This window comes from Homo sapiens, chromosome 19, assembly GCF_000001405.40.
Source record: "Homo sapiens chromosome 19, GRCh38.p14 Primary Assembly".
In the NCBI taxonomy this organism is placed as follows: Eukaryota; Metazoa; Chordata; class Mammalia; order Primates; family Hominidae; genus Homo; species Homo sapiens.
The window spans coordinates 19117945-19145171 of record NC_000019.10 but is presented as its reverse complement, the minus strand read 5'-3'; the positions used below and the strand labels follow the sequence as shown (position 1 = coordinate 19145171).

The 27227-nt window shown below is 51.3% G+C and overlaps 1 protein-coding gene across 4 annotated transcripts, besides 8 other annotated features; it reads left to right on the top strand.

The window, feature by feature from the left end:
- Positions 6287-6476: an enhancer, noted in NCBI's record as "active region_14337". NCBI's record gives its function as "activates an Ori minimal core promoter by ATAC-STARR-seq in GM12878 lymphoblastoid cells {active_cell/tissue: GM12878}" and the evidence as "EXISTENCE:reporter gene assay evidence [ECO:0000049][PMID:35858748]".
- Positions 6451-7312: an enhancer, noted in NCBI's record as "H3K27ac-H3K4me1 hESC enhancer chr19:19248669-19249530 (GRCh37/hg19 assembly coordinates)". NCBI's record gives its function as "activates a minimal SCP1, AML or CMV promoter by ChIP-STARR-seq in primed H9 embryonic stem cells {active_cell/tissue: H9 hESC(primed)}" and the evidence as "EXISTENCE:reporter gene assay evidence [ECO:0000049][PMID:30033119]".
- Positions 6617-6696: a silencer, noted in NCBI's record as "silent region_10432". NCBI's record gives its function as "represses an Ori minimal core promoter by ATAC-STARR-seq in GM12878 lymphoblastoid cells {active_cell/tissue: GM12878}" and the evidence as "EXISTENCE:reporter gene assay evidence [ECO:0000049][PMID:35858748]".
- On the top strand, positions 6694-26003 carry TMEM161A (transmembrane protein 161A). Of its 4 annotated transcripts, none has more exons than NM_017814.3 (12): positions 6694-6746; positions 10285-10388; positions 11962-12042; positions 12418-12515; positions 12664-12820; positions 14865-15016; positions 23353-23413; positions 23504-23647; positions 23751-23864; positions 24006-24180; positions 24311-24407; positions 24989-26003. In NM_017814.3, the coding sequence occupies exons 1-12, from the start codon at positions 6744-6746 to the stop codon at positions 25240-25242; spliced, it is 1440 nt and encodes a 479-aa protein (NP_060284.1). In that variant the 5' UTR covers positions 6694-6743; the 3' UTR covers positions 25243-26003. The 4 variants fall into 4 exon arrangements, with proteins under 4 accessions (NP_060284.1, XP_047294979.1, NP_001398060.1 ...); XM_047439023.1 differs by having other exon boundaries at positions 10256-10388; NM_001411131.1 differs by having other exon boundaries at positions 12739-12820; positions 24989-25555.
- Positions 6757-6966: an enhancer, noted in NCBI's record as "active region_14336". NCBI's record gives its function as "activates an Ori minimal core promoter by ATAC-STARR-seq in GM12878 lymphoblastoid cells {active_cell/tissue: GM12878}" and the evidence as "EXISTENCE:reporter gene assay evidence [ECO:0000049][PMID:35858748]".
- Positions 24064-24642: an enhancer, noted in NCBI's record as "H3K27ac-H3K4me1 hESC enhancer chr19:19231339-19231917 (GRCh37/hg19 assembly coordinates)". NCBI's record gives its function as "activates a minimal SCP1, AML or CMV promoter by ChIP-STARR-seq in primed H9 embryonic stem cells {active_cell/tissue: H9 hESC(primed)}" and the evidence as "EXISTENCE:reporter gene assay evidence [ECO:0000049][PMID:30033119]".
- Positions 24643-25221: an enhancer, noted in NCBI's record as "H3K27ac-H3K4me1 hESC enhancer chr19:19230760-19231338 (GRCh37/hg19 assembly coordinates)". NCBI's record gives its function as "activates a minimal SCP1, AML or CMV promoter by ChIP-STARR-seq in primed H9 embryonic stem cells {active_cell/tissue: H9 hESC(primed)}" and the evidence as "EXISTENCE:reporter gene assay evidence [ECO:0000049][PMID:30033119]".
- Positions 25222-25801: an enhancer, noted in NCBI's record as "H3K27ac-H3K4me1 hESC enhancer chr19:19230180-19230759 (GRCh37/hg19 assembly coordinates)". NCBI's record gives its function as "activates a minimal SCP1, AML or CMV promoter by ChIP-STARR-seq in naive H9 embryonic stem cells {active_cell/tissue: H9 hESC(naive)}" and the evidence as "EXISTENCE:reporter gene assay evidence [ECO:0000049][PMID:30033119]".
- Positions 25769-25955: a silencer, noted in NCBI's record as "fragment chr19:19230026-19230212 (GRCh37/hg19 assembly coordinates)". NCBI's record gives its function as "represses an EF-1alpha promoter that drives an FKBP-Casp9 reporter gene in an ReSE screen in phorbol 12-myristate 13-acetate-treated (for megakaryocytic differentiation) K562 erythroleukemia cells {active_cell/tissue: K562(+PMA)}" and the evidence as "EXISTENCE:reporter gene assay evidence [ECO:0000049][PMID:32094911]".

Here is a 27227-nt window from a genome sequence, read left to right as displayed (position 1 = left end):
CGCCCCTGAACTGTTCATCTTCTTATTTTTTATTTTATTATTTTAATTTTATTTTATTTGAGACAGAGACTCCCTGTGTCACCCAGGCTGGATTGCAGTGGTGCGATCTCGGCTCACTGCAACCTCCGCCTCCCGGGTTCAAGGGATTCTCCCGCCTCAGCCTCCTGAGTGCCTGGGACTACAAGCACCTGCCACCATGCTAATTTTTGTATTTTTAGTAGAGACGGGTTTCCCCATGTTGGTCAGGCTGGTCTCGAATTCCTGACCTCAGGTGGTCCGCCCTCCTGGGCCTCTCAAAGTTCTGGGATTACAGGTATGAGCCACCCAGCCTCGCCGACTGCTCATCTTTTGAATGGGTGTATCTCTTGAGCCCTTGACCCAGCAATTGATTCTACCCAGGGGACAAGAGAGCAGGGTGTTTATATACCCACTCCTGGGGTTGCAAACTGCCCCCACTCTGGCTTGTCCTGTGTGTGAAGACAGACTTGGGTGTCCTGAGGTCAGGGGTGCTCCCAGAAAATAGTTGAGGTGCAGCAGGGTCTATCTGGCCTCACGCACCCCAGGTGGTCTCAGTGGGATTTTTTTTTTTTTTTTAGTTGGGGCCTCACTATGTTGCCCAGGCTGCTCTCAAACTCCTGGGCTCAAGCAATCCTCTCACCTCGGCCTCCAGAGTAGCTGGACTACAGGTGCAAGCCACCATACATGGCATTCAGTGAGATCTTCATAATACTTAACATCTGACTTCTTGCCGGGTGCGGTGGCCAAAGCCTGTAATCCTAGCACTTTGGGAAGCCAAAGTGGATGGATGGCTTGGGCCCAGCAGTTTGAGACCAGCCTGGGCAACATACTGACACCCTGATCTCTACAAAAAATTTAAAAAGAAATTAGCTGGGCATGGCTGGCACATTCCTGTAGTCCCAGCTATTCAGGAGGCTGAGGTGGGAGAATTGCCTGAGCATAGGAAGTCGAGGCTGCAGCAAGCTGTGATTGAGCCATTGCACTCCACCGTGGGCAACAGAGCGAGACCCTATCTCAAAAATAACATCAAAAACAACGACAACATAAAAAACTGACTTCTAGCCGGGCACGGTGGCTCACACCTGTAATCCTAGCACTTTGGGGGGCCAAGGCGGGCAGATCACTTGAGGCCAGAAATTTGAGACCATCTCTACTAAAAATACAAAAATTAGCTGGGCCTCATGGCCCATGCCTGTAATCCCAGCTACTTGGGAGGCCGAGGCACGAGAATCACTTGAACTCAAGAGGTGGTGGTTGCAGTTAGCCGAGATCCAGATCGTGCCACTGCATTCCAGCCTGCACAACAGAGCAAGACTCCGTCTCAAAAAAAAAAAAAAAAAAAAAATTACTTCTTGCCTGTAATCCCAGTCCTTTGGGAGGCTGAGGAGGAAGGATGCCTTGAGCCCAGGAGTTGGAGGCTGCAGTGGGCTATTACCAGCCCACTACAATCCAGCCTGAGTGACAGAACAAGACATTGTCTCTAAAAATAACAGTAATAAAATTTAAAAGATCTGCCTCTGCCATGTTCTGCTCATCTCTTTGAAGCTTTTCCTCATCCTTAGAAGGAAGTTGGGCTCCTCAGCTGCCCTACCCTAGTCTGGCCTGGTCTCCTATCCCTGTCCCAGCCTCTCCAGTACCTTAGAAATATTTGCAGTACCAACATGTGACCCTACTGGTCTTTCCTGGAGCGCCTCCCTCAACCCCCAACTTGTCTCCTTTTTAAACTCCTTCCCACCCTCCAAGGCCCAGCTCTGCCTCTCTTCCTCCATGACGCCTTCTACACTGTCCCAAGCTGAGAAACACCTTTGTGAGTTGGAGTTCACAGATTTGGACAGGAAGACGGAAAACATGAGTGTTGAGATCAAGACTTACAAGATCCGCCTTGGCCGGGGACAGTGGCTCACCCCTGTAATCCAAATACTTTGAGAGGCTGAGGTGGGAGGATGGCCTAAGCCCAGGAGTTCAAGACTAGCTTGGGCAACATGGTGAATCCCATCTCTTAAAAAAAAAAAAAAATTAGCCAGGCGTGGCAGTGCACACCTCTAGTCCCAGCTTCTCAGGAGGCTGAGGTGGGAGAATCACCTGAGCCCGGGAAGTCAAGGCTGCAGTGAGCCATGATTGAGCCACTGCACTCCAGCCTGGGCAACAGAGCAAAAGACCCCGTCTCAAAGAGTAAAAAAACAAAAACAAAAACAGGCCGGGCATGGTGGCTCACACCTGTAATCCCAGCACTTTGGGAGGCTGAGGCAGGTGGATCACTTGAGGTCAGGAGTTCGAGACCAGCCTGACCAATGTGGTGAAACCTCGTCTCTATTAAAAATACGAAAATTAGCCGGGCATGGTAGTGTGTGCCTGTAGTCCCAGATACTCAGGAGGCTGAGGCAGGAGAATCACTTGAACCCGGGAAGTGGAGGTTGCAGTGAGCCGAAATCGCGCCACTGCACTCCAGCCTGGGCAACAGAGCAAGACTCTATCTCAAAAACCAAACAAACAAACAAACTCACCTGCTTTCCAATCACTCTGCCAAGATCCAAAGCTGAGCTGGTTGGCACAGCTCAGCCAGAATGGGCGGGGTACGTTGACTGACAATTTCAAAATCCTTTCTGTCACTCAGCGCCCCAGGGAGAGATTTCTTCAGTAAAACTGAGCACCTTGCATTTCACCCTTAGCGCACACAGTCCTAGACAAGATGATGGGCGGGACGCCTTTTAAGGGATAGGGAGACTGGACAAAGTATATAAGTGACAGAACCCGGAGGGGGCACTTGTTTATACGGCGGAGTATAGGATGCCATCTGCACCCCAGACCCCAGCTAAGGTTTGTCCTACGTCATCTTCGCCACCCTCATCCCCAGTGAGGTGGGGGCTTTGGGGCCCCAGTTTCCAGGATAGGGATATGGCATGATCAAAGTGTGTAAAAGCCCCTCCCCAGGCTCCCGTGGCAGGGGGCATTGGGAGCTGAGGGGAGGCAGTGCCCCCTGGAATGATCACTCTCTGTGTGTGCGTGGAGGCAAACCCACCAGGACTCCAGAACGGCTCGGAGGTGGAGGTGAAGGGAAGAGCGTGCCGTGGGTGACTGGAAGCTCCCATTTCATCCTCTGTGCTGTGGAAGCTTGTAGGGAATGAGACTTGGATGGGGTGAACTTGAAGCCTCTGCAGAGTGTCCAAGTGCGGCTAGAGATTTCGCTCACCCAACCCAGACTCAGGTCTTTTTTCTTTTTCTTTTCTACTTACTTATTTTTATTATTTTGTTTTGTTTTTGTTTTTTGTTTTGAGAGAGAGTCTCGCTCTGTCATGCAGGCTGGAGTGCAATGGCACGATCTCGGCTCACTGCAGCCTCTGCCTCCCAGGTTCAAGCGATTCTCCTGCCTCAGCCTCCTGAGTAGCTGGGACTACAGGCATGTGCCACCATGCTCAGCTAATTTTTTGTATCTTTAGTGGAGACGGGGTTTCACTATGTTGGCAAGGCTGGTCTCAAACTCCTGACCTCAGGTAATCCACCCACCTCGGTCTCCCAAAGTGCTGGGATTACAGGTGTGAGCCACCGCTCCTGGCCTAATTTTGTTTTTATTATTATTGGGTTTTTTTTTTTGTTTTTTTGTTCTGAGACAAAGTCTCACTCTGTTGCCCAGGCTGGAGTGCAGTGGCGGGATCTCGGCTCACTGCAGCTTCTGCCTCCCGGGTTCAAACGATTCTCGTCCTTCCCAAATAGCTCGGATTACAGGCGACTGCCACCACACCCGGCTAATTTTTGTATTTTCAGTAGAGATGGGGTTTCACCATGTTGGCCAGGCTGGTTTCAAACTCCTGACCTCAAGTGATCCTCCCACCTCAGCCTCCCAAAATGTTGGGATTACAGGCATGAGCCACTGCGCCTGGCCTATTTTTTTATTTTTGAGGCAGTGTCTTGCCCTATTGCCCAGGCTGTACTGCGGTGGTGCAATCATAGCTCTCTGCAGCCTTGATCTCATGGGTGCAAGCAATCCTGCCTCAGCCTCCCAAGTAACTGAGACTACAGGTGCACACCACCTTGCCCAGCTAGGCTGGAGTGCAGTGGCAAGATCTCAGCTTACTGCAACCTCTGCCTCCTGGGTTCAAGTGATTCTCCTGCCTCAGACTCCCCAGTAGCTGGGACTACTACTGGGACTACAGGCGTGAGCCACAACGCCTAGCTAATTTTTGTATTTTTAGTAGAAACCCAATAGGGTTTCACCATATTGGTCAGGATGGTCTTGATCTCTTGACCTTGTGATCCGCCCCCCTTAGCCTCCCAAAGTGCTGGGATTACAGGCGTGAGCCACTGTGCCCAGCCTGCCCAGCTAATTTTTGTATTTTTTGTATAGTCTGGGTTTCCCCATGTTGCCCAGGTTGGTCTGGAACTCCTGGGTTTAAGTGATCTTCCCACCTTGGCCTCCCAAAGTTCTCGGATGACAGGCATGAGCCACTGCACCCAGCCTCTTTTTTTTTCCTCGTCATGTTGCCAGGGCTGGAGTGCTGTGGCATGATCACGACTCACTGCAGCCTCAAATTCCTGGGCTCAAGCAATCTTCCCACCTCAGGCTCCTGAGTAGCTGGGACTTACAGGCTTGAGCCACCACGTTGGGCTAATTTAACTTTTTTTTTAATTTAATTTTTTTTTAGAGATGGGTGTTTTGCTGTGCTGCCCAGGCTGGTCTCAAAATTCTGGGTTCAAGCGATCCTCCAGCCTAAGCCTCCCAAGTAGCTGGGACTACAGGCATACGCCAAGCCACCATGCCTGGCTGGACTCAAGTCTTCAACACTTCCCACCTGGTCCCTTCTGTCCCTTCCCCACTCAGGAGGGGTGAGCCACGGTCCTCATGGCAGTGATCAATGGCTGTGGAGGTCCAGCTGAGCATGCAGCTCCTGCCACCTCCAGCAGCGCCACTGCTACATGCACAGATGATGCAAACTCTTCAGCCAGTTACCCACCCTTCTGTTCTGAGGACCTCCCCGACAATGATCCTGGCCTTCCTTCCACATGGGCTGAAGACCTACCTACTCACTGGCACCCCAACCCCGCACATCCAGACCAGGGCCAGGGACTGAGCAAGAGGAAAAGGGTCAAGGTAGCGGGTACCCTGGGGGAAACTGAGGCATGGCCAGAGAGAAAGAGCCTTCCCAGCCTTTGGATCTCACCCTCACGGTGGACAAGAAGTCAGGCCAGTCCCTGATGTTAGTGCCCACAGGCTAAGCACCCAGTGTGAGGTCCATAAAACTATGGGCCGCTTTCTAAGGCTGGGAGCCCCCAGGGCCACAAGTGAGACTGGTTTGACTTCTCCATCCCAGGGAGACTGCGCTTTTGCCCTCCACCACGAGGTGGCGTGCGATAGTGCGCTTAGGATTCAGCACTTGCCAGCCGAAAGTTAAAAAAATAAAATATAAACCAGGCCCGGTGGCTCACGCCTGTAATCTCAGCACTCTGGGAGGCCGACGTGGGCGGATCACCTCAAGTCGGGAGTTCAAGACCAACCTGATCAACATGGAGAAACCTCATCTCTACTAAAAATGCAAAATTAGCCAGTCGTGGTGGTGCATGCCTGTAATCCCAGCTACTCGGGAGGCTGAGGCAGGAGACTCACTTGAACCCAAGAGGCGGAAGTTGCGGTGAGCCAAGATCACACCATTTCACTCCAGCCTGGGCAACAAGAGCGAAACTCCGTCTCAAGAAAAAAAAAAATTAATACACAAATACATAATAAAATGTAAAAACGAAAAGGTAATTACTCAGGCCCCACACACAGGAACCCACCCCCATAAAGATGCTCAGACACTCAGTCATACCCAATATATGTCTACACTCAGGCAGACACACTCATCCACAGAAAGACAAATGGCAAAACCGGGGCACAAACACCAGAAGCCCTTTCCTCCTAGCGGTGAAATAAAGAACATCAGATCCCTGAAGCTGACATTTGGTCCTTGATCCAGCCACGCCTGAAGCTGACACTATGGCTAGTATTTTCTGTCACATGAGCCAAAAATTTTCCTTTTTTGCTTGAACCCATGTTAGTTGATATTTTGTGGAGCACAGCCAGAGTCCTAGCTGATAGAGATGAATAAGGCACTTGCCAGGTGAAAAAGATTGAGGCATTCTTTTTTGCTTTTGTTTTGTTTTTATTTTAAGATTGAGGCATTCTTGAAGGCATTGCAAGATGTAGGATATTTACAAAGGCCTGGAGGTATGAGACAGCATGGTGGGTGCAAGTTGTACTATAGGGTGCACAATAGTGCTAGCAGCAGATTTAAGTCAGGCAGAAGGGTCTGAATTCAGTCTGAGTACTTAGCCTACTTAGTACTTAGGAGTACTAAGTACTTCGTCTACTAAGTGGGAGCCATTGAATGTTCTTGATGGGGGGAGGGAATTCTACTCTCAGAAATGTCCCTTAGGTGGGAATAAATGCTTTCGCTGCAAACCTTTGAGATAAGTGTAGGAAAGAGAAAACTAAGCCTTAAGAGAGGTCGGCCACGCAGGCCTCCCAGACACAATCTTCACTTTGATCGATCCGAACCAGCGTATCTGAACTACAATTTCCGGCATGCAACGCGAGCGGCCTCCTCGTCCCTGGTGATTTGCCGGCTCAAGACACACTGATTGGTCGGACGGGATGCTCGTCAGACCAGAGTCGGGCTCTAATTGGTCGAGTTTCCGCAGAGTGCCCGGAGCCCTAGGCCGGTGGGTGAGTGCACCGCGTTCTCGCACGCGTCATGGTGAGCGAGCGTCCCGCGAAGTGGGGGGTTCTGCAGGGCCGAGGTCCAGCCGAAGGGGTCCAGGGAGACACTGAGGGAATGGATTGGGGTTTCTTCTTGGGGATTGGAGGCTCTGAGGGATTCGGGGGCACGCTGAAGGCCGTGTGTCCCTCTCTGGGAGCCCTGCTCTCGCTACAGGACCTCCGAGGGAGTCGGCGGGAGTTGTACCCAGGGGGACTAGAAGCCCCTAAGCGTTCTGGGGATTCTGCCCTCGAGACCTTTTAGGGGTCTGGGATCCTTTTGAGGGGTCGTGGTCCCACAGAGGGGACTGGGGACCCCAGCACATTTGGAACCTGGTTAAGGCGGTGTGGGGTCCTGTTGGGGGTCCACTCTGGGGACGGGGGTCCTGCAGGAGCGTGGGGGCCGCGCCGACAGGATCCATCGGGGGTCCCTGCTATATCGGGGTGTGTGGAACGGGCAGGGGAGGCCGTGGGAGGTGGACTCAGGAGGTCTGGTTGGCCTCAGGGCGGGCAAGGTTCTCAGAGTGGGAGACAGGAAAGTTGGAACCTTCAGGTCTCACGCGGCTCTGGGTCCAACCTATTGAGTGTGTTCTTAAAACTTAGCCCAGCCCCTGGGGGTCAGGCTGGTGCAGGGAGATGGGGGACTCCCACAACCCTGACGGGACCGGCCTGGGCAGAGAGAGGGACGTGGAACTGGAGGGTCTCTGCCTGGGACCATCCCCGAGGAGGGGCGCTGGAGATGGCCCTGAAGGAAGGGCACTGATGGCCGGAATTATTGAAAGTGGGGCGTCGTCCCAGGCGGAGGTGCAGGACGCCGTAGGAGATGAAGGCACAGGCTCCCGGGAATGAGGAGGGAGGCTGCATTGATTTTATCAGGGTTCTTGAGTTCGAGAATCGTAAATCCAGTGAAGGGAAAAGAAGGAGCTGATGGAAGACTCCAGAAAATTCTTGCAGATGTCTGCAGAGCCCTGACCCTGAGACAGGAGGCTGGGTGGAGGGCAGGGCCATCAGAACATCCCTGGACAGACCTCTGGGAGCCTTAGGTGGAGAGATGCACCCCTCCACCACCTTTTCCCTTGGGGGGTTTTGGGGGGTGGTGGGGTCATTGATGAAGAGCCCAAAGGTCCAGGAAGACCTCTGAGACTCCAGTGGTTGGGTGCAGGGAGGGCTGAGGAGAGAGCTGAGCTGTGGGGAGGTGGAGGGATGGTCTCTAGCTATGCCTGCAGGGTGCAGAACCAAGTTGGGGGCTGACTGTGAGACTGGGAAGGGCCTGAACCACCTGGAAGGGTATGGGATGATGGGTGAGTGCTAGGGTCTCCCAGGAGAGCCTGGAGGAGGCTACTGGTTGAGCTCAGCAGAGAGGTCTGGGCTGGAGGTGTCACCGTGCTGAGGTTTTGATGGGCTGGCTGATTGGGTGGTTAAAACCCTGGCAGGTCACAGGAGAGAGGTCGGAGAGAGAGGAGAAAAACAGACTGGGGGGTGGGAGGGCAGGGTCCTAGGGGAAGGGTGGGGCTTCAACAGCCCTGACCCACTGGCTTGCAGGGGCCCATGGGCTGGCACTCATGGTCCCTAAGTGCCAGCCAGCCAGTCTGCACTAGGGTCCCGGGGAGGGCGAGCAATGAGGACTTAGAGATGAGAAAGATGCCGCCACCAACCTCATTACTGAAAAAAGATTTCTGGTCTCAGTTTACAAGTCACAGGTACAGAGAAAATGTCCTATTAGTCTGTTATTTTATGTATTTTTATTTTATTATTATTATTATTTTGTTTTGAGACAGAGTCCCACTCTGTTGCCCAGGCTGGAGTGCAGTGGCACAATCTCGGCTCACTGCAACCTCTGCCTCCCAGGTTCAAGCAATTCTGCTGCCTCAGCCTCCCAAGTAGCTGGGATTACAGGCGCCCACCACCATGTCTGGCTAATTTTTGTATTTTTAGTAGAGACAAGGTTTCATCATGTTGGCCAGGCTCGTCTCAAACTCCTGACCTCAAGTGATCAGCCCGCCTCAGCCTCCCAACATGCTGGGATTACAGGCACGAGCCACCGCACCTGGCCTCAGCAGTCATTTTGAATTACCGTGCTAGGCCCGGTACCCATCACATTAGGGTTTTTCCGACTAAATTTAGCTTATTTATGCCTGATTAAAGGATTATTTTCATAATTAATTTTACTATTAAATAAACTTTATTTCATTTTGATGATAATTCCAGAACACTAGTAGACAGCTCTCCTGAGCACATAATTTTACATAATTATGTAATTACTGGCAGCAAATGGGTATTTACTGCATTCAAGCAGGAAAACCCAGCTTCACCACAGACTGATTCTTCTAAAACGTTTAAAAATAAGTATATGAAAATGTGTTCTGAATTAAGAACTGGGTGAGAAAATTCCTAATTAAAAAAAAAAAAAGCCTTAGCTGGGTGTGTTGGCACATGACTGTAGTCCTAACTACTCGGTAGGTTGAGGTGGGAGGATCACTTGAGCCCAGGAGTTTGAGACCAGCCTGGACAACATAGCAAGACCCCATCTCTAAAAATAAAAATAAAAATAGGCCGGACACAGTGGCTCACGCCTGTAATCCCAACCGTTTGGGAGGCCAAGGCAGGAGGATTGCTTGAGCCTAGGAGTTCAAGACCAGCCTGGCAACATGGAGAAACCCTGTCTCTACAAAATAGACAAAAATTAGTTGGGTATGGTGGCGAGTGCCTGTAATCCCAGCTACTAGGGAGGCTGATGTGGGAGAATCACTTGAGCCTGGGAGGTTGAGGCTGCAGTGAGCACCCCAGCATGCCACTGCACTCCAGCCTGGGTGACAGAGCAAGACCCTGTTCTCCCCACCACTCCCTTGCCAAAAAAATAAATAAATAAATAAAAATAAATAAGCTCACCCCACTCAGACATGTAGGTCTTCACACCAAAACAGGAGGTGGCCAGGAGCATAGACGCCCTTTCAAGGAGGTTAATTACAAAGGGAAGAAGAGGGAGGAGGGTGATGGAACCATCAGGGATCACTTAAGGTGGGAGACACTTAGGGGAAGGAGCTACCAGGTGAAGGAGAAAGCTAGAAGCTCAACCGAGACGCAGTGGCTCCCTAGGTGACAGTGTGGGGTGCAGAAGGCGGTGGGAGCCGCTTTCACTGAGTGTGGCGGGCTCGTGGTTAGGGGCTGGAAGGTGGTGGTGAGGAATACAGGAGACTACATAGGAAGCACCCATTTCCAGATGAGAAAACTGAGACTCCGGGAAATTAATATTATACCTGAATCCATAGCGGAGGCGGGAGGCAAATCCCATGGTCTCCACTGCCCTACACTCCCGCTAGGTGGTGAGGGTGGGTGTTGATCTCTGACGTGGGAGGGCAGGGCCATGCTAGGTGAGTCCAGACTCACCCCAGGACTCTCCCCTAAGAAGCCGCTAGAGCCTAAGAGGCTCGCCCTTCCCCCATCCAGCCTGACTTCTCTATAAATAGCCTGGGTTCCTAGGGAGGGAGGGAACTTGTGACCCTCTGGCAGGTGCTGCCAGTCATGTCCCCTCCCCCCAGGCGGTCCTCGGAGTACAGCTGGTGGTGACCCTGCTCACTGCCACCCTCATGCACAGGCTGGCGCCACACTGCTCCTTCGCGCGCTGGCTGCTCTGTAACGGCAGGTGAGCCCCGCCCCGGCGGTGGGAGGGGCCCGCGGAGTCACGCCCCCTTCTGGCTCCCCACGCCCCGCCTCACAAATTGCAAAGCCTTGATTTTGGTTGGTGGGTGGTGGGGGGAAAAACGTTGTTGAGGTGTAATTGAAGTACAACAAACTGCATATATTTGTTTTTTCTTTTTCTTTTTAGAGACAGGGTCTCACTCTGTTACCCAGTCTGGAGTGCAGTGACCTGATCATAGCTCACTGCAACCTCAACCTCCTGGGCTCAAGTGACCCTCCTGCCTCAATCTCCTGAGTAGCTGGGACTACAGGTGTGCGCCACCATGCCCAGACAATTTTTAAATTTTTAATAGAGATGGGGTCTTGCTAAGTTGCCCAGGCTGGTCTCAAACTCCTAGGCTCAAGCGATCCTACCACTTTGGCCTCCCAAAGTGCTGGGATTACAGGCGTGAGTTCCCATGCCTGACACAAACTGTATATATTTGAAGTACACAGTTGGACTAGTTTTGACAGGTGTACACATGTGTGGAACCATCACCACACTCCCCACGTCCCTCACTCTTCCTGCCTCCCTGTAACCCAGCCTTCCTTCCACCCCTGCATCTGCTAGAGCTCGCCTGCTCTGGTTTTTGTCCTTGCGTGGGTCTGTGATGCTTTCTGAGAATCTGGTGGCAACTGAATTCTCTCCTGAGAAAAATGTATGTGACAAAAACAAAGGCAAAAAAAAAAAACACGTCAGAGATGATAGCTCAGGCCCATAATCCCAACACTGGGGGAAGCCAAGGTGGGAGGATCACTTGACCAGCCTGGGCAACATGGCAAGACCCTGTCTCTACAAAATATTTTAAAAATTAGCCAGGTATGGTGGCTCACGCCTGTGATCCCAGCTAATCAGGAGTCTGAGGCAGGAGGATCGTTTGAGCCCAGAAAGTCAAATCTGCAGTGAGCTGAGATGGTGCCACTGTACTCCAGCCTGGGCGACAGACCAAGGCCTTCTCTCAAAAACAAAAAACAAAGGCCGGGCGAGGTGGCTCACACCTGTAATCCCAGCCCTTTGGGAGGCCGGGGCGGGTGGATCACTTGAGGTCAGGAGTTTGAGACCAGCCTGGCCAACATAGTGAAACCCTGTCTCTGGTAAAAATACAAAAATTAGCTGGGCATGGTGGCGCATGCCTGTAGTCCCAGCTCCTCGGGAGGCTGAGGCAGGAGAATCACTTGAACCGGGGAAGTGGAGGTTGCAGTGAGCCAAGATCATGCCACTGCACTCCAGTCTGGGTGACAGAGGGAGACTCTGTCTCAAAAAGAAAATGAAAAAGAAAAGAAAAGTTGCACACACTGGCTTCCCCAGGAGAGTTAGCCAGCAGATTCAGGGGTATCCAAGCCCCCGGAGCCCACTCAGCCTAGATCTGTTGGTCTCACGATTTCCCCAGAATTTCCCCATGCTGTACCCTCACCTACCTCCCAGTGTTCCCCTGGCCTAGGCTACCCTCTAACTAGAATCCCTGGATTTGGGGTTCACTGCCTCAACCTCCCAACCCCACGCCTGAGCTTCCCTGACTGCCCGTCCTTGCTCTCAGTTTGTTCCGATACAAGCACCCGTCTGAGGAGGAGCTTCGGGCCCTGGCGGGGAAGCCGAGGCCCAGAGGCAGGAAAGAGCGGTGAGTGACCTGGGCCCCAGCCCCAGCCTTGGGAGGGTGGCTCCTCCCCAGGAACGGCCTCACCCCTGCTCAGGGGGCTCTGGGCTCAGGGACACAGGACCGGCCCACCCATACTTCCAGGCGCTGATCTGGGCACAGGTGAACCGGGAGACCCTAGTCCAAGGAGATGGTCACTGTCAAGTTAGCATCTGTTTCCTGGCAGTTTGCTCTAGCCAGTCCTGTGGGTGGGTGGGGGGATCCCCATATCCCAGTGTGCAGAGGAGCCAAGGTTGTGGAAAGAGATGGTCTCCAGGCCAGCTGCTCTGAGCTCTGAGGGTGGCTGGCCTCAGTGGAATGCGTGCTCACCGTCCCTCTTGCTTGTCACCATCCTCCCAGGTGGGCCAATGGCCTTAGTGAGGAGAAGCCACTGTCTGTGCCCCGAGATGCCCCGTTCCAGCTGGAGACCTGCCCCCTCACGACCGTGGATGCCCTGGGTAATAGCCCAGTCCCATCCCTAAACTCTACTCCCTCAGCCCTGAAGGTCTCCACACCCTCATGGGGGTGGGGAGGATTTGAAGGAAGAATGTTCTATTAGGAGGGGAGCGAGCTGGGCCCCAGGGCTGAGCAGAGTGCCCCCCACAGTCCTGCGCTTCTTCCTGGAGTACCAGTGGTTTGTGGACTTTGCTGTGTACTCGGGCGGCGTGTACCTCTTCACAGAGGCCTACTACTACATGCTGGGACCAGCCAAGGAGACTAACATTGCTGTGTTCTGGTGCCTGCTCACGGTGACCTTCTCCATGTATCCTTCCTCTCTGCTCCCTGCCAGTGGGGCGGGTGGGAGCAGGACCTGAGCTTCCCTGGCTCCCCTAAACTGGTGTGGCAGTTTTCACCTGCTGTGCCACAAACTTCCCCAAGCTTAGTGACATGAAGCAGACATTTTATGTGCTCCAGCTCTGTGGGTGGACAGACTGGGCTGGGCTCAGCAGGTCGGTTCATCTCCACTCCACATGGTCATGCCCTTTGGTGGCAGTAGAAATGCCAGGAGGCAGGAGGGAATGCCTTGCCCAAAGTCACCCACCCCATCCCTATTCTTTCTACCACATTCTCCTTGTTTAAGGAAATCACCAGGCCAGTCCACAATCAGGGCCAAGAAAGATATGGTCCCTTGGCAAAATTTTAAAAAATATATACTCCAGGCATGGTGGCTCATGCTTGTAATCCCAGCACTTTGGGAAGCTGAGGCAGGCGGATCACCTGAGGTCTGGAGTTCAAGACCAGCCTGGCCAACATGGTGAAACCCCGTCTCTACTAAAAATACAAAAATTAGCCAGGCGCGGTGGCTCATGCCTGTAATCCCAGCACTTTGGGAGGCCGAGGCAGGTGGATCATCTGAGGTCAGGAGTTCAAGACCAGCCTGACCAACATTGAGAAACCCCTTCTCTACTAAAAGTACAAAAATTAGCCGGGGGTGGTGGTGCATACCTGTAATCCCAGCTACTCAGGAGCCTGAGGCAGGAGAATTGCTTGAACCCGGGAGGTGGAGGTTGCAGTGAGCCAAGATCATGCTATTGCACTCCAGCCTGGGTGACAAGAGCGAAACTACATCCCCCCAAAAAATTGTGTGTGTGTGTGTGTGTGTGTGTATATATATATATATGTGTGTGTGTGTATGTATGTACATGTATATATATTTGTTGTTGTTGTTGAGACAGGATCTTGCTTTGTTGCCTAGGCTGGTCCTGATTGGCTTCAAGTGATTCTCCTGCCTTGGCCTCCCAAAGAGAGCAAATACATGACTTTGGGGACCCAAGTCTGAGGAAGCACAGAAAGAATGCTACTCCTGTGACTTTTGGAGTGGGAAACCTGTCTTAAAATCCACTGGTTCCCCAGATTCCCATGCTTTTTTGTTTTTTGTTTTGTTTTGTTTTTTGAGATGGAGTTTTACTCTTGTTGCCCAGGCTGGAGTGCAGTGGCATGATTTAGGCTCACTACAACCTCTGTCTCCCGGGTTCAAGTGATTCTCCTGCCTCAGCCTCCCAAGTAGCTGGGATTACAGGCATGCGCCACCATGCCTGACTAATTTTTGTATTTTTAGTAGAGACTGGGTTTCACCATGTTGGTCAGGGCTGGTCTCAAACTCCTGACCTCAGGTGATCTACCTGTCTCAGCCTCCCAAAGTGCTGGGATTACAGGCATGAGCCACTGCGCCTGGCCTGTTGTTGTTGTTTGAGACAAGATATCCCTCTGTCGTGCAGGCTGGAGTGCAGTGGTGCAATCAGGGCTCACTGCAGCTTCAAACTCCTGGGCTCAAGCGATCCTCCCACCTCAGGCTCCCCAGTAGCTGGGACCACAGGGGCTACCACAAAATTATTTTTTGTAGAGATGGGGGTCTCACTATGTTACCCAGGCTGCTCTTGAACTCCTGGGCTCAAGTGATCCTCCTGCCTTGGCCTCCCAAAGTGCTGGGATTACAGGCATGAGCCACTGTGTCTGGCCCCCATGCTGCATTTTGACAGCAGATTGGAGATGAAGCCCTTCTATATCTGATTGCTTTTCCAAGGGATGTGAAGTAGGTGAGGTGGGTGAAAGAGGCAGGGTCACCCAGGGCGGGAGGCTGTACAGACACGGTGGCCTGATGAGGCCATCTCCCACTCAACGGGAACCCCCAGCCCACATCCTGATCTGAGATCCAGCACCCCAAAACCGAACTCCTCTAGGTCATCCCCAAGGCCTATTTGTGCAGCAGTGCTTGTTCCCTGGAGTTCTGGGGTCCCAGACGGAGTGTGGTGAAATGGGCAGAGTGGGGCAGTGGCACCTGAGGCCTCCTTAGCTCCAGCCTCCAGCAAGATGTTCCTGACAGTGACACGGCTGTACTTCAGCGCCGAGGAGGGGGGTGAGCGCTCTGTCTGCCTCACCTTTGCCTTCCTCTTCCTGCTGCTGGCCATGCTGGTGCAAGTGGTGCGGGAGGAGACCCTCGAGCTGGGCCTGGAGCCTGGTAAGTGCAGCCCCCAACGTGGGGCCACCGCAGCTGTCACTCCCTCATGTAATCTGACCAAGATGGTTTAACTGGCTCCGTGTCCAGCACGAGTAGGCAAAGGAGTGGGCTCCTGGGGTGAAGGCAGTCCCCATTAGTGACCATCTCAGCTCCTGAACCTTGTTGGGCTTTGGGGAAGACAGGACATTGCCTCTCTCACTGTCTCTGATGGACACTCATGGCTATAGCTCTTTTTTTTTCTTTTTTTTTTGAGATGGAGTTTCACTTTTGTCACCCAGGCAGGAGTTCAGTGGCATGATCTTGGCTCACTGCAACCTCTGCCTCCTGCATTCAAGTGATTCTCCTGCCTCAGCCTCCCAAGCTGGGATTATGGGTGTGCACCACCACGCCTGGCTAATTTTTGTATTTTTAGTAAAGATGGGGTTTCACCATGTTGGCCAGGCTGGTCTCAAACTCCTGACCTCAGGTGATCCACCCACCTCAGCCTCCCCAAGTGCTGGGATTACAGGTATGAGCCACTGTGTGTGGCCTCTTTTTTCATTTTTTTAAAAAATTATTTATTTATTTATTTTTATTGAAACAGGGTCTCACTATGTTGCCCAGGCTGGTCTCACACTCCTGAGCTCAAGCAGTCTGCCCGCCTCAGCCTCCCAAATTGTTGTTATTACAGGTGTGAGCCACCGTGCCTGGCCTCTTAAATGATCCTTTTAACATATAATTTGGACCTCATCACTTCTCTGCCCGGCACCACACTCCCCCGGTCTTAGGAGAAAGACCATAGCCCTCACCATGGCCCACATGACCCTGCTGACTGCTTGAGTTTTACCTTCTCCAATTCTCCCTGCCTTTCAGTTTTTAAAATTATATATGTTTGATATATACAAAGAAGATGTGTATGTCAATTATAAAGCAAAATAATCATATGAGTACCTGCAAACCTACCCCTCAAATAATAAGTAGGTGGGGTAGTGACTGCACCAATCTCCCAAGGGGGCGGCAGTAAGGTTTAAATGAATCAAGATCCATGGATAGGGCTTGATTTTTGCCAACCTAGCCCTCGTCACATGGAATGATGCCCTCTGTGGCCTTAACATGCATGTCTCTGATTACCAGGGAAGTTGAGCACCTTTTCCTGTTTATTCATGATTCATGTCTCTTCTGTGAAATTTTTGTGAAATACCTGTTCACATTGTTGCCCATCTTTGAATCTTTTTTCTCTTTGAATTTTTTTTCATTGTGGTAAAATAGACAAAACATAAAATTCACCATCTTAACCATTTTTAAATGTGCAGCTCAGTGGCATTAAGTATATTTAGATGGCCGAGCATGGTGGCTCATGCCTGTAATCCCAGCACTTTGGGAGGCTCAGGCAAGCAGATCACCTGAGGTCGGGAGTTCAAGACCAGCCTGATCAACATGGAGAAACCCTGTCTCTACTAAAAATACAAAATTAGTCGGGCGTGGTGACACATGCCTGTAATCCCAGCTACTTGGATGGCTGAGGCAGGAGAATTGCTTGAACCCAGGAAGCGGAGGTTGTGGTGAGCCAAGATCGAGCCATTGTGCTCCAGCCTGAGCAACAAGAGTGAAACTCCGTCTCAAAAAAAAAAAAAAAAAAAAAATGTAGGCCAGGTGTGGTGGCTCACATGTGTAATCCCAGCACTTTGGGAGGCCAAGGCAGGCGGATCACAAGGTCAGGAGATCAAGACCATCCTGGCTAACATGGTGAAACCCTGTCTCTACTAAAAATACAAAAAATTAGCTAGGCTAATGGCACACGCCTATAGTCCCAGCTACTTGGGAGGCTGAGGCAGGAGAATGGCGTGAACCTGGTAGGCGGAGCTTGCAGTGAGCTGAGATCGCGCCACTGCACTCCAGCCTGGGCGACAGAGCAAGAGTCCATCTCAAAAAAAAAAAAAAAAAAAAAGTCTATTTAGATGTCGTGCAACCATCACCACCGTCCATCTCCACAACTCTTTGCTCTTGCAAAACTGAAACTCCAGCCCATCAAACACTAACTCCCTGTTCCTCCTTCTTGCAGCCCCTGACACCCACCATTTTACGTCCTGTCTCTGTGAATGTGACCACTCTGGGTTCCTCATATAAGTGGCATCATACAGTATTTGTCCTTTTGTGACGTGCTCATTTCAGTTAGCACAATGTCCTCAAGGCATATCCATGTTGTAGCAGGTGTTAGAATTTTTTTTTCTTTTTTTGAGACAGGATCTCACTCTGTCACCGAGGCTGGAGTGCAGTGGTGCAATCACAACTCACTGCAGCCTTGATCTCCAGGGCTCAAGTGATCCTCCCACCTCAGCCTTCCAAGTAGCTGGGACCACAGGCACATGCCACCACACCTGGCTAATTTTTAATTTTTTTTTTTTTTTCTGTAGAGATGGGGTCTTGCTATGCTTCTCAGGCTGGTCTCAAACTCCTGGCCTCGAGCAGTCCTCTCACCTCCGCCTCCCAACGTGCTGGGATGACAGGCGTGAGCCACTGGGCCCAGCCAGAATTCCATTTTTAAGACTGAACACTGCCAGGCACGGTGGCTCACGCCTGTAATCCCAGCATTTTGGGAGGCCAAGGCGGGCGGATCACGAGGTCAGGAGATCGAGACCATCCTGGCTAACATGGTGAAACTCCGTCTCTACTAAAAAAAATACAAAAAATTAGCCGGGTGTGGTGGCGGGTACCTGTAGTCCCAGCTACTCGGGAGGCTGAGGGAGGAGAATGGTGTGAACCCAGGAGGCGGCGCTTGCAGTGAGCTTAGATAGTGCCACTGCACTCCGGCCTGGGTGAAAGAGCAAGACTCCATCTCAAAAAAAAAAAAAAAAAAAAAGACTGAACACTATTTCATTGTCTGGGTGGAACACATTTTGTTTATTCATCCACAGATGAATGCTTGGGTTGTTCCCAACTTTTGGCTTTTTGACTAATACCGCTGTGAACCTGAGTGTACAGGTATCTCTTTGAGACCCCATTTTCAGTTTTGGAGAGTATATATCCAGAAGTGGAACTGCTGGATTATATGATAATTCTACTTTTAATTTTTTGAGGGACTGCCATACTGTTTTATACAGCAGCTGAACCATTTTATTTTATTTTTGAGACAGAGTCTCATTCTGTTGCCCTGGCTGGAGTGCAGTGGTGGCGTGATCTCCACTCACTGCAACCTTTGCCTCCCGGATTCAAGTGATTCTCATGCCTCAGGCTCCCAAGTAGCTGGGACTACAGGCTCCCACCACCACACCCAGCTAATTTATTTTTTTATTTTTATTTTTATTTTTTGAGACAGTCTCCCTCTGTCACCCAGGCTAGAGTACAGTGGCATGATCTTGGCTCACTGCAACCTCCACCTTCCAGGCTCAAGTGATTCTCTTGCCTCAGCCTCCCAAGTAGCTGGGATTACAGGTGTGCGCCACCACACCTGGCTAATTTTTGCATTTTTAGTAGAGATGGGGTTTTGCCATGTTGGCCAGGCTGGTCTTTAACTCCTGACCTCAGGTGATCCTGCCCATCTTGGCCTCCCAAAGTGCTGAGATTACAGGTGTGAGCCACCACATCTGGCTACACCCAGATAATTTTTGTGTTTTTAATAGAGACAGATTTTGCCATGTTGCCCAGGCTAGTCTTGAACTCTTGAACTCAAGCAATCGCCAGCCTCGGCCTTCCAAAGTGCTGGGATTACAGGTGTGCACCACTGTGCTCAGCCCATTTTATATTTTATATTCCCAGCAGCAGTGCACAAGTGTTCCAAATTTATCCACTTCATTGCCAATACTTCTTTTGTTTTCATTTGACCACTATTTGCATTATTTTCCGTCTGCATACATGCATCACACTTTCTTTGCTGAGTCGTCAAATGTAGTTGTAAGTGTCACCTCTAGTGTCTTGATGAATGGAAGTTGATTATTTTAGTTGATATTTGTCTTGAAAAATATCCTTCCCTAAAATCAGAAAGTCATTCTACATTGTCTTTTTTTTTTTTTTTGAGACAGAGTCTCGCTCTTTCCCCCAGGCTGGAGTGCAGTGGGCGATCTCTAGTATTTTTTACTAGAGATGGGGTTTCACTATGCTGACCAGGCTGGTCTTGAACTCCAGACCTCAGGCAATCCACCCGCCTCAGCCTCCCAAAGTGCTGGGATTACAGGCGCGAGCCACCGTGCCCGGCCTACTTTTTGTATTTTTTACTAGAGATGGGGTTTCACCACGTTGACCAGGCTGGTCTTGAACTCCAGACCTCAGGCAATCCACCTGCCTCAGCCTCCCAAAGTGCTGGGATTACAGGCGCTTGCCACCACGCCTGGCTGAAATATTTTAGAAGAAAATATAGAATGACTGGCCAGGGGTGGTGGCTCATGCCTGTAATCCCAGCACTTTGGGAGGCCGAGATGGGCACATCACGAGGTCGGCAGATCGAGACCATCCTGGCTAACACCGTGAAACCCCGTCTCTACTAAAAATACAAAAAATTAGCCAGGCGTGGTGGCAGGCGCCTGTAGTCCCAGCTACTGGGGAGGCTGAGGCAGGAGAATGGCGTGAACCCGGGAGGTGGAGCTTGCAGTGAGCCAAGATCGCGCCACTGCACTCCAGCCTGGGCAACAGAGCGAGACTCCGTCTAAAAAAAAAAAAAAAAAAAAAGCTGGGCAAGGTGGCATGCACCTGTAATCCCAGCTACTCGGGAGGCTGAGGCAGGAGAATCACTTGAACCCCGGAGGCAGAGGTTGCAGTGAGCCGAAATCACGCCATTGCACTCTAGCCTGGGCGACAAGAGCAAGACTCCATCTTAAAAATCAATAAATAAAATATTTCAACTTTTACATTTCATATAAGCTCCTAAACTACTCACTGTTGCTGATGGACAGTGACATTAATTTTTGTGTTATCATATAGGGGTCAAATTTGAGTGTCTCCACGGACTAACCTTGCTAAACAATTATATTTTTATTGAATTGCAGATTCTTTTTGGTTTTCTTTTGTTCTGTCTGATCCTTCCCCTTTGGTGTGGCTAGGACCTCTGGATTTGAGAACAGTACTGGCGTACCTCCTTTTCTTGTTTCCAATTTCTCAGTTAGCTACTTGGCTCATAAATTTTCAATCTTTTCTAATTTTATAGCATATATAGCATTTAATGCTATATATATTTTACCAGGTCTCACTTTTGTTCACCTAAGTTTTTTTTTGTTTTTGTTTTTGTTTTGAGATGGAGTTTTGCTCTTGTCACCCAGGCTGGAGTGCAACTGTGCAATCTCAGCTCACTACAACCTCTGCCTCCTGGGTTCAAGCAATTCTTCTGCCTCAGCCTCCTGAGTAGCTGGGATTACAGGTGCACGCCACCACGCCTGGCTAATTTTTGTATTTTTAGTAGAGACGGGGTTTTACCATGTTGGCCAGGCTGGTCTCAAACTCCTAACCTCAGGTGATCCACCCACCTCGGCCTCTCAAAGTGCTGGGATTACAGGTGTGAGCCATCACACCTGGCAGTTTACCCAAGTTTTGACTGATATTTTTTATTATTCTGTTTGGGGTGTTTTAACATTTCCCTTCTGATTTCTGTAGAGATGGGGTCTTGCTATGCTTTGACCTATGGATTATTAAATATTTTTAAATTTTTCAAACATAGATCTTTAAAAAATACATATTTATTTCTAGCTCAATTGCACAGATGGTCTATTTGAAATAATTTCTTTAAAATTTGGTAAGATTTGCCCTATGGCCTGGAATGTGATCACATTTTGTGACTATTCCTTGTTTTCTTGAAGGACATATTCTGTTTTTGTTGTTTTGCCTTTTTTCACATGTTCTAATTGAAGGACATATTCCCTGGCTCTATGAGTTTAATAAATTCAAATCTCCATCTTGCCTAACCTTTTGTCTGTGACTTATCAGTCAGCAGAAGTTAATCTCCCTCTGGGACAAGAGAGCTCTCAATTTCCCTATCAATTCTGTCAGTGTTTTCTTTATATATTTTGCAGCCTATTCACAATTCACAGATTAGTTCTATTCACAGATTTAGAACTGTTACATTTTCCTGGTGAATCAGCCATTTTATCATGATGTATGGAACCCTTCTGTCTTCTAATACTACTTTTTTTTTTTTTGAGACAGAGTTTTGCTCTCGTTGGCCAGGCTGGAGTGCAGTGGCGCAATCTCGGCTCACTGCAACCTCCACCTCCTGGGTTCAAGCGATTCTCCTGCCTCAGCCTCCCAAGTAGCTGGTATTACCCGCCACCATGCCCAGCTATTTTTTGGATTTTTAGTAGAGCCAGGGTTTCACCATGTTGGCCAGGCTCGTCTCGAACTCCTGACTTTGTGATCTGCCCGTCTTGGCCTCCCAAAGTGCTGAGATTACAGGTGTGAGCCACCGCGCCTGGCCTATTCTAATACTACTTCTTAGTCTAGTTTGGCTGGTAGTAGTATAGCCTTTCTAGCTTGCTTTCTTTTGATTAGTATTTGCTGTATCTTTTTAACATCCCTTTACTTTCAGTCTTCCAGTGACTTTATGTCAAGGTATGTCATCCTTTAAAAAACATGTAGCTGGATATTTTCAATGTAGTCTGACAGTCTTTGTCATTTAACTTTAAAGTTTAGTCTACTTACATTTATTGTGATTACTGACATATTTGACTTTGTTTCTACCATCTTACTTTTTTGCTTTCTATTTGTTCCTTTTCTGTTGTTGCAGTTGACATTGGCTGTCAGCCTAATTGTTGTTCCTTTGTAGGTGATCTGTCTTAACTCCCTGGCTGCTTTGTAATTTTTTTGTTTTTGGTGTTCTGCAGTTTCACTCCATTATGTCTAGGTATGGATTTCTTTTTATTTACATGGTTTGATATACTTTGTGTCTGTCTTTCATTCTGCAAACTTCTCAACCATTCTCTTCCAGTAATTCCTTTTATTCTTCATTCCTTCTCTTCCCTCCCTCTGGGGCTCTGATTTGATTTGCGTTGGGCTCTCTGTTCTGTCTTCCTTATCTCTTAGCCTCTCTTCATATTTCTCACCTACTTGTTTTTCTGAGTTGGAATCTGAGTGATTTCTTCAGATCTGTCTTCCAGTTCATCACTTCCTCCTTTGGCTGTTCCTAATGTGCTGTTTAACAACCTATTATTTCAATACTTACAGTTTTCCTTTGGAAGAGTTTAATTTGGTTCCTTTGCAACTCTACCCAGTCATCTGAAGGAATTCTCATGTCACTTGTTCTGTGATTACAGCTTTCATTTCCTTAGTCATTTGACACATAATTGACAGCACCAATTTCTGAAGTCTTTGAGGCCTAAACTTGACTGTTGTTTTTCTGTTAACTCTCCTTTATGGTGATTTGTTTCCTTATGCATTTGGTGATTTTGCCTGTGAGCTCATATGAATTTGCTCCTTTTTTTTTTTTTTTTTGACAAGGTCTTGCTCTGTGCTGGAGTGCAGTGGCATGATCTCAGCTCACTGCAACTTCCACATCCTGGGCTCAACCCATCCTTCCCACCTCAGCCTTCACAGTAGCTGGGACTATAGGCGTGCACCACCACCCCTGGTTTTGTATTTTTTGTAGAGATGGGGGTTTTGCCATGTTGCCCAGGCTGGTCTCAAACTTGTGAGCTCAAACGATCCACCCGCCTTGGCCTCCCAAAGTGCTGAGACTTACAGGTGCAAGCCACTGCACCCAGCCCTGCTCTTAATTTTTGAAAAATCTTGGGTCCTGAATTGAGGATTCCTTCCTCCAGGAGGACTTTGGTTTTCTCCTGCAGGAGTCCTTCATCCCCCTCTAGATTCCTTCTATAACCTAGGGAGCTCAGGCTCAACAGATACCCCTGAATGTTCCCAGCCCAATCAGGAGTGTCTGCCTGGTGCATTCTGTTTCGTTTTCTTTGAGACTGAGTTTCACTCTTGTCCCCAAGGCTGGAGTGCAATGGTGCGGTCTCAGCTCACTGCAACCTCCGCTCCCCATGTTCAAGCGATTCTCCTGCCTCAGCCTCTCAAGTAGCTGGGATTACAGGCACCTGCCACCACACCTGGCTAATTTTTGTATTTTTAGTAGAGACGGGGGTTTCACTGCATTGGCCAGGCTGGTCTGAAACTCCTGATCTCAGATGATCCGCCTGCCTCAGCCTCCCAAAGTGCTGGGATTACAGGCGTGAACCACCACTCCAATCTTGTTTCTTGTAAAAAGTACTGTGTAACTAGAGCACAAAATTGTCCTTGTGCCTGGCTCAGGGCCTGGCAGACCCTTGTTCATTCCTACTTGGGAAGCAAACGGATGCCTGAGGGATGGGGGGTTAGGGAACAGAGTGGCCTTAGAGACCCTAGGAATTCACTCTACTCGGTCCTCTTCTTATCGTCCCCAGGTCTGGCCAGCATGACCCAGAACTTAGAGCCACTTCTGAAGAAGCAGGGCTGGGACTGGGCGTGAGTCCTGGGAATGGGGGAGGGAGGCAAGGGCAGGCTGGGACCCTCCCAGGGTCCCCCAGGCAGGCTCGTGACCTGGTGTTCTCCTAGGCTTCCTGTGGCCAAGCTGGCTATCCGCGTGGGACTGGCAGTGGTGGGCTCTGTGCTGGGTGCCTTCCTCACCTTCCCAGGCCTGCGGCTGGCCCAGACCCACCGGGACGCACTGACCATGTCGGAGGACAGACCCATGCTGCAGTTAAGTGGGTCGCTTGGTGGGTGGGGGGACTAGGGAGCTTAAGGGAGAGACTCGAGGAGAGGGGGTACCCAGGCCTCACTCCCTCCTGCCCTCACCCCCCAGGTTCCTCCTGCACACCAGCTTCCTGTCTCCCCTGTTCATCCTGTGGCTCTGGACAAAGCCCATTGCACGGGACTTCCTGCACCAGCCGCCGTTTGGGGAGACGCGTTTCTCCCTGTGCGTATTGGGTGGGGCTAGGAGGTAGCTGGGGCTCCCCTGGGTGCCCTAGCCTCTGAGATTCAGGGAGGAGCCTGGGGAAGATCCTGGGGGGTCGGGGGCGACCTTCTTAGTCCCTTGCCCCCGGCCCTCTCCGCACAGGCTGTCCGATTCTGCCTTCGACTCTGGGCGCCTCTGGTTGCTGGTGGTGCTGTGCCTGCTGCGGCTGGCGGTGACCCGGCCCCACCTGCAGGCCTACCTGTGCCTGGCCAAGGCCCGGGTGGAGCAGCTGCGAAGGGAGGCTGGCCGCATCGAAGCCCGTGAAATCCAGCAGAGGGTATGGACGCCCCGATGACCTAGGCCAGAGGGAACCTGGGGCTCAGGGTGGGGTTCCTGGTCCTTTGGGCGTGGAGTCGTCCCAAACCAGAAGGCCTCCTGCTGCAGCCACCCCTGCTACCTGCCCACAGGTGGTCCGAGTCTACTGCTATGTGACCGTGGTGAGCTTGCAGTACCTGACGCCGCTCATCCTCACCCTCAACTGCACACTTCTGCTCAAGACGCTGGGTGAGATGCCGCGGTGTGGGGGTGGAGGAGGGGCGGAGTTGGAAGATAAAACAGAGTGGAGGTGGACTCTGGCGGGGACCGCGGTGGGGGGGGAGAGGCGGGGCCTAGGCAGGGGGCGGAGACTGTGGTAAGGCAGGGTCTGAGCAGGAAGCGGAGCCTGGAGTGGGGCTTGCCTTGGACAGGAAGTGGAGCCTGGGGATGGGTGCAATCTGAGCAGGAGGCGGGGCCTGGGTAGGGGGCGGGGACTGTGGTGAGGCAGGGTCTGAGCAGGAGGTGGAGTTTGGGATGGCGTTTGCCTTAGGAGGTGGAGCCTGGGGAGGGGTTGCGTCTTGGCAGGAGGCGGGGCCTGGGGAGGGGGCAGGGCATGTATTGAGGCAGGATCTGAGCAGGAGGTGGGGCCTGGGGTAGGGTTTGCCTTGGACAGGGGGCAGCGCCTGAGGGGGTGGAGACTGGGCTGGAGATGGAGTCTGAGACAGGGGTGGGAGTGTCTGGAGGAATGGGCCTGGCCCCCCGTGCCAGCCCTGTCCCTCGCCCCCTCCCCCATTTTTCCACTCATACCTCGCTTCATCCTCTTCTCCTAGGAGGCTATTCCTGGGGCCTGGGCCCAGCTCCTCTACTATCCCCCGACCCATCCTCAGCCAGCGCTGCCCCCATCGGCTCTGGGGAGGACGAAGTCCAGCAGACTGCAGCGCGGATTGCCGGGGCTCTGGGTGGCCTGCTTACTCCCCTCTTCCTCCGTGGCGTCCTGGCCTACCTCATCTGGTGGACGGCTGCCTGCCAGCTGCTCGCCAGCCTTTTCGGCCTCTACTTCCACCAGCACTTGGCAGGCTCCTAGCTGCCTGCAGACCCTCCTGGGGCCCTGAGGTCTGTTCCTGGGGCAGCGGGACACTAGCCTGCCCCCTCTGTTTGCGCCCCCGTGTCCCCAGCTGCAAGGTGGGGCCGGACTCCCCGGCGTTCCCTTCACCACAGTGCCTGACCCGCGGCCCCCCTTGGACGCCGAGTTTCTGCCTCAGAACTGTCTCTCCTGGGCCCAGCAGCATGAGGGTCCCGAGGCCATTGTCTCCGAAGCGTATGTGCCAGGTTTGAGTGGCAAGGGTGATGCTGGCTGCTCTTCTGAACAAATAAAGGAGCATGCCGATTTTTACAAACAGGGTCTGAGTGGTTTGGGACTCGGGCTTGTGCAGGGTGGTAGCTGTCTTGCACGTCCCTGTGGCACCTGCCCGGGTGCAGGGTGGGGGCTGCGCGGGAGGGAGAGAGGAGCAGGACTGAGAGGGGAGCAAAGGTCTGGGAGGAGAAAGGAGAGCAAGAAGGAGGCCAGGCTCGGCGGCTCACGCCCGTAATCCCAAATCCCAGCACTTTGGGAAGCCAAGGCGGGCAGATCACTTGAGGCCAGCAGTTTGAGACCAGCCTGGTCAACGCATGGTGAAACCCAGTCTTTACTAAAATAACAAAAATTAGGCATGGTGGCGCATGCATGTAGTTCCAGCTACTGAGAAGGATGAGCCAGAAGAGTCGCTTGAACCTGAGAGGTGGAGGCTGCAGTGAGCCGAGATCGCATCACACTCCAGCCTGGGTGACAGAGTGAAACTCTGTCTCAAAAAAAAAAAAAAAGAAAAAGAAGAAATGCAAGTGTCCCAGGAAAAGTCCAAAAGCAGGATGGAAGAGACCAGAAATCAGGGGAAGTTGGAGTCCCAGCTGAGAGGGCAGGTGGCCTGGGACGGACGGGCAGGTGAGAGAAATGCACCATGAGGGAGTGCCAGGAGAAGGTTAGATGGGCAGGGAAACCTTAGAGGAAAACCAGTTTGAGGAATGGGAGGGCGGGGAGCCCACAGTGATGCCAGCGTCTGCTACAGGTATGCAGGTGACTTGTATAGATATCACACACAGGGAGGGGGGAGGGGCATATTGAGGCCTTGGTGACCCAGGGAAGGGATGTGGGGCCGTCATGGACTCTGAAATTGTCCTGTAGCTGTGACTCCAGGGTGTGTCCACACGTGTGTTACAATGTAAGGTGCAGGCTGGGTGCCGTGGCTCATGCCTGTAACCCAACACTTTGGGAGACCGAGGCAGGCCAATCACCTGAGGTCAGCAGTTCAAGACCAGCCTGGCCAACATGGTGAAACCCTGTCTCTACTAAAATACAAAAAAAATTAGCCAAGCGTGGTGGTGCACACTTGTAATCCCAGCCTCTCGGGAGGCTGAGACAGGAGAATCGCTTGAACCCGGGAGGCAGAGGTTGCAGTGAGCCAAGATCATGCCATTGCACTCCAGTCTGGGTGACAGAGTGAGACTCCATCTCAAAACAAAAACAAAAACAATGTAAGGTGCATATGTAACCTTTTTGTATAAGTAAGATGTATACAGACAGTTCCCTGACTTAGAACGGTTTAAGAATTTTCTTTTTTAAAATTTTCATCAGGCTGGGTATGGTGGCTCACATCTGTAATCCCAGCACTTTGGGAGGCCGAGGCGGTGGATCACGAGGTCAAGAGTTTGAGACCACCCTGGCCAACATGGTGAAACCCCATCCCTACTAAAAATACAAAAATCAGCCAGGTGCGGTGGCAGGTGCCTGTAATCCCAGCCACTCAGGAGGCTGAGGCAGGAGAATCGCTTGAACCCCAGAGGCAGAGGTTGCAGTGAGCCAAGATCGCGCCATTGCACTCCAGCGTGGGTGACAGAGCGAGACTCTGTCTCAAAATAAATAAATAAATAAAAATAGGAAAGATAGAAGGGGGTGGTTGAGGTCTTTGTGTGTGGCTCAGAGGGAAGATAAATATTTTAATTTTTGTGTGTGTGTGTAGTTTTTTTTTTTTTTTT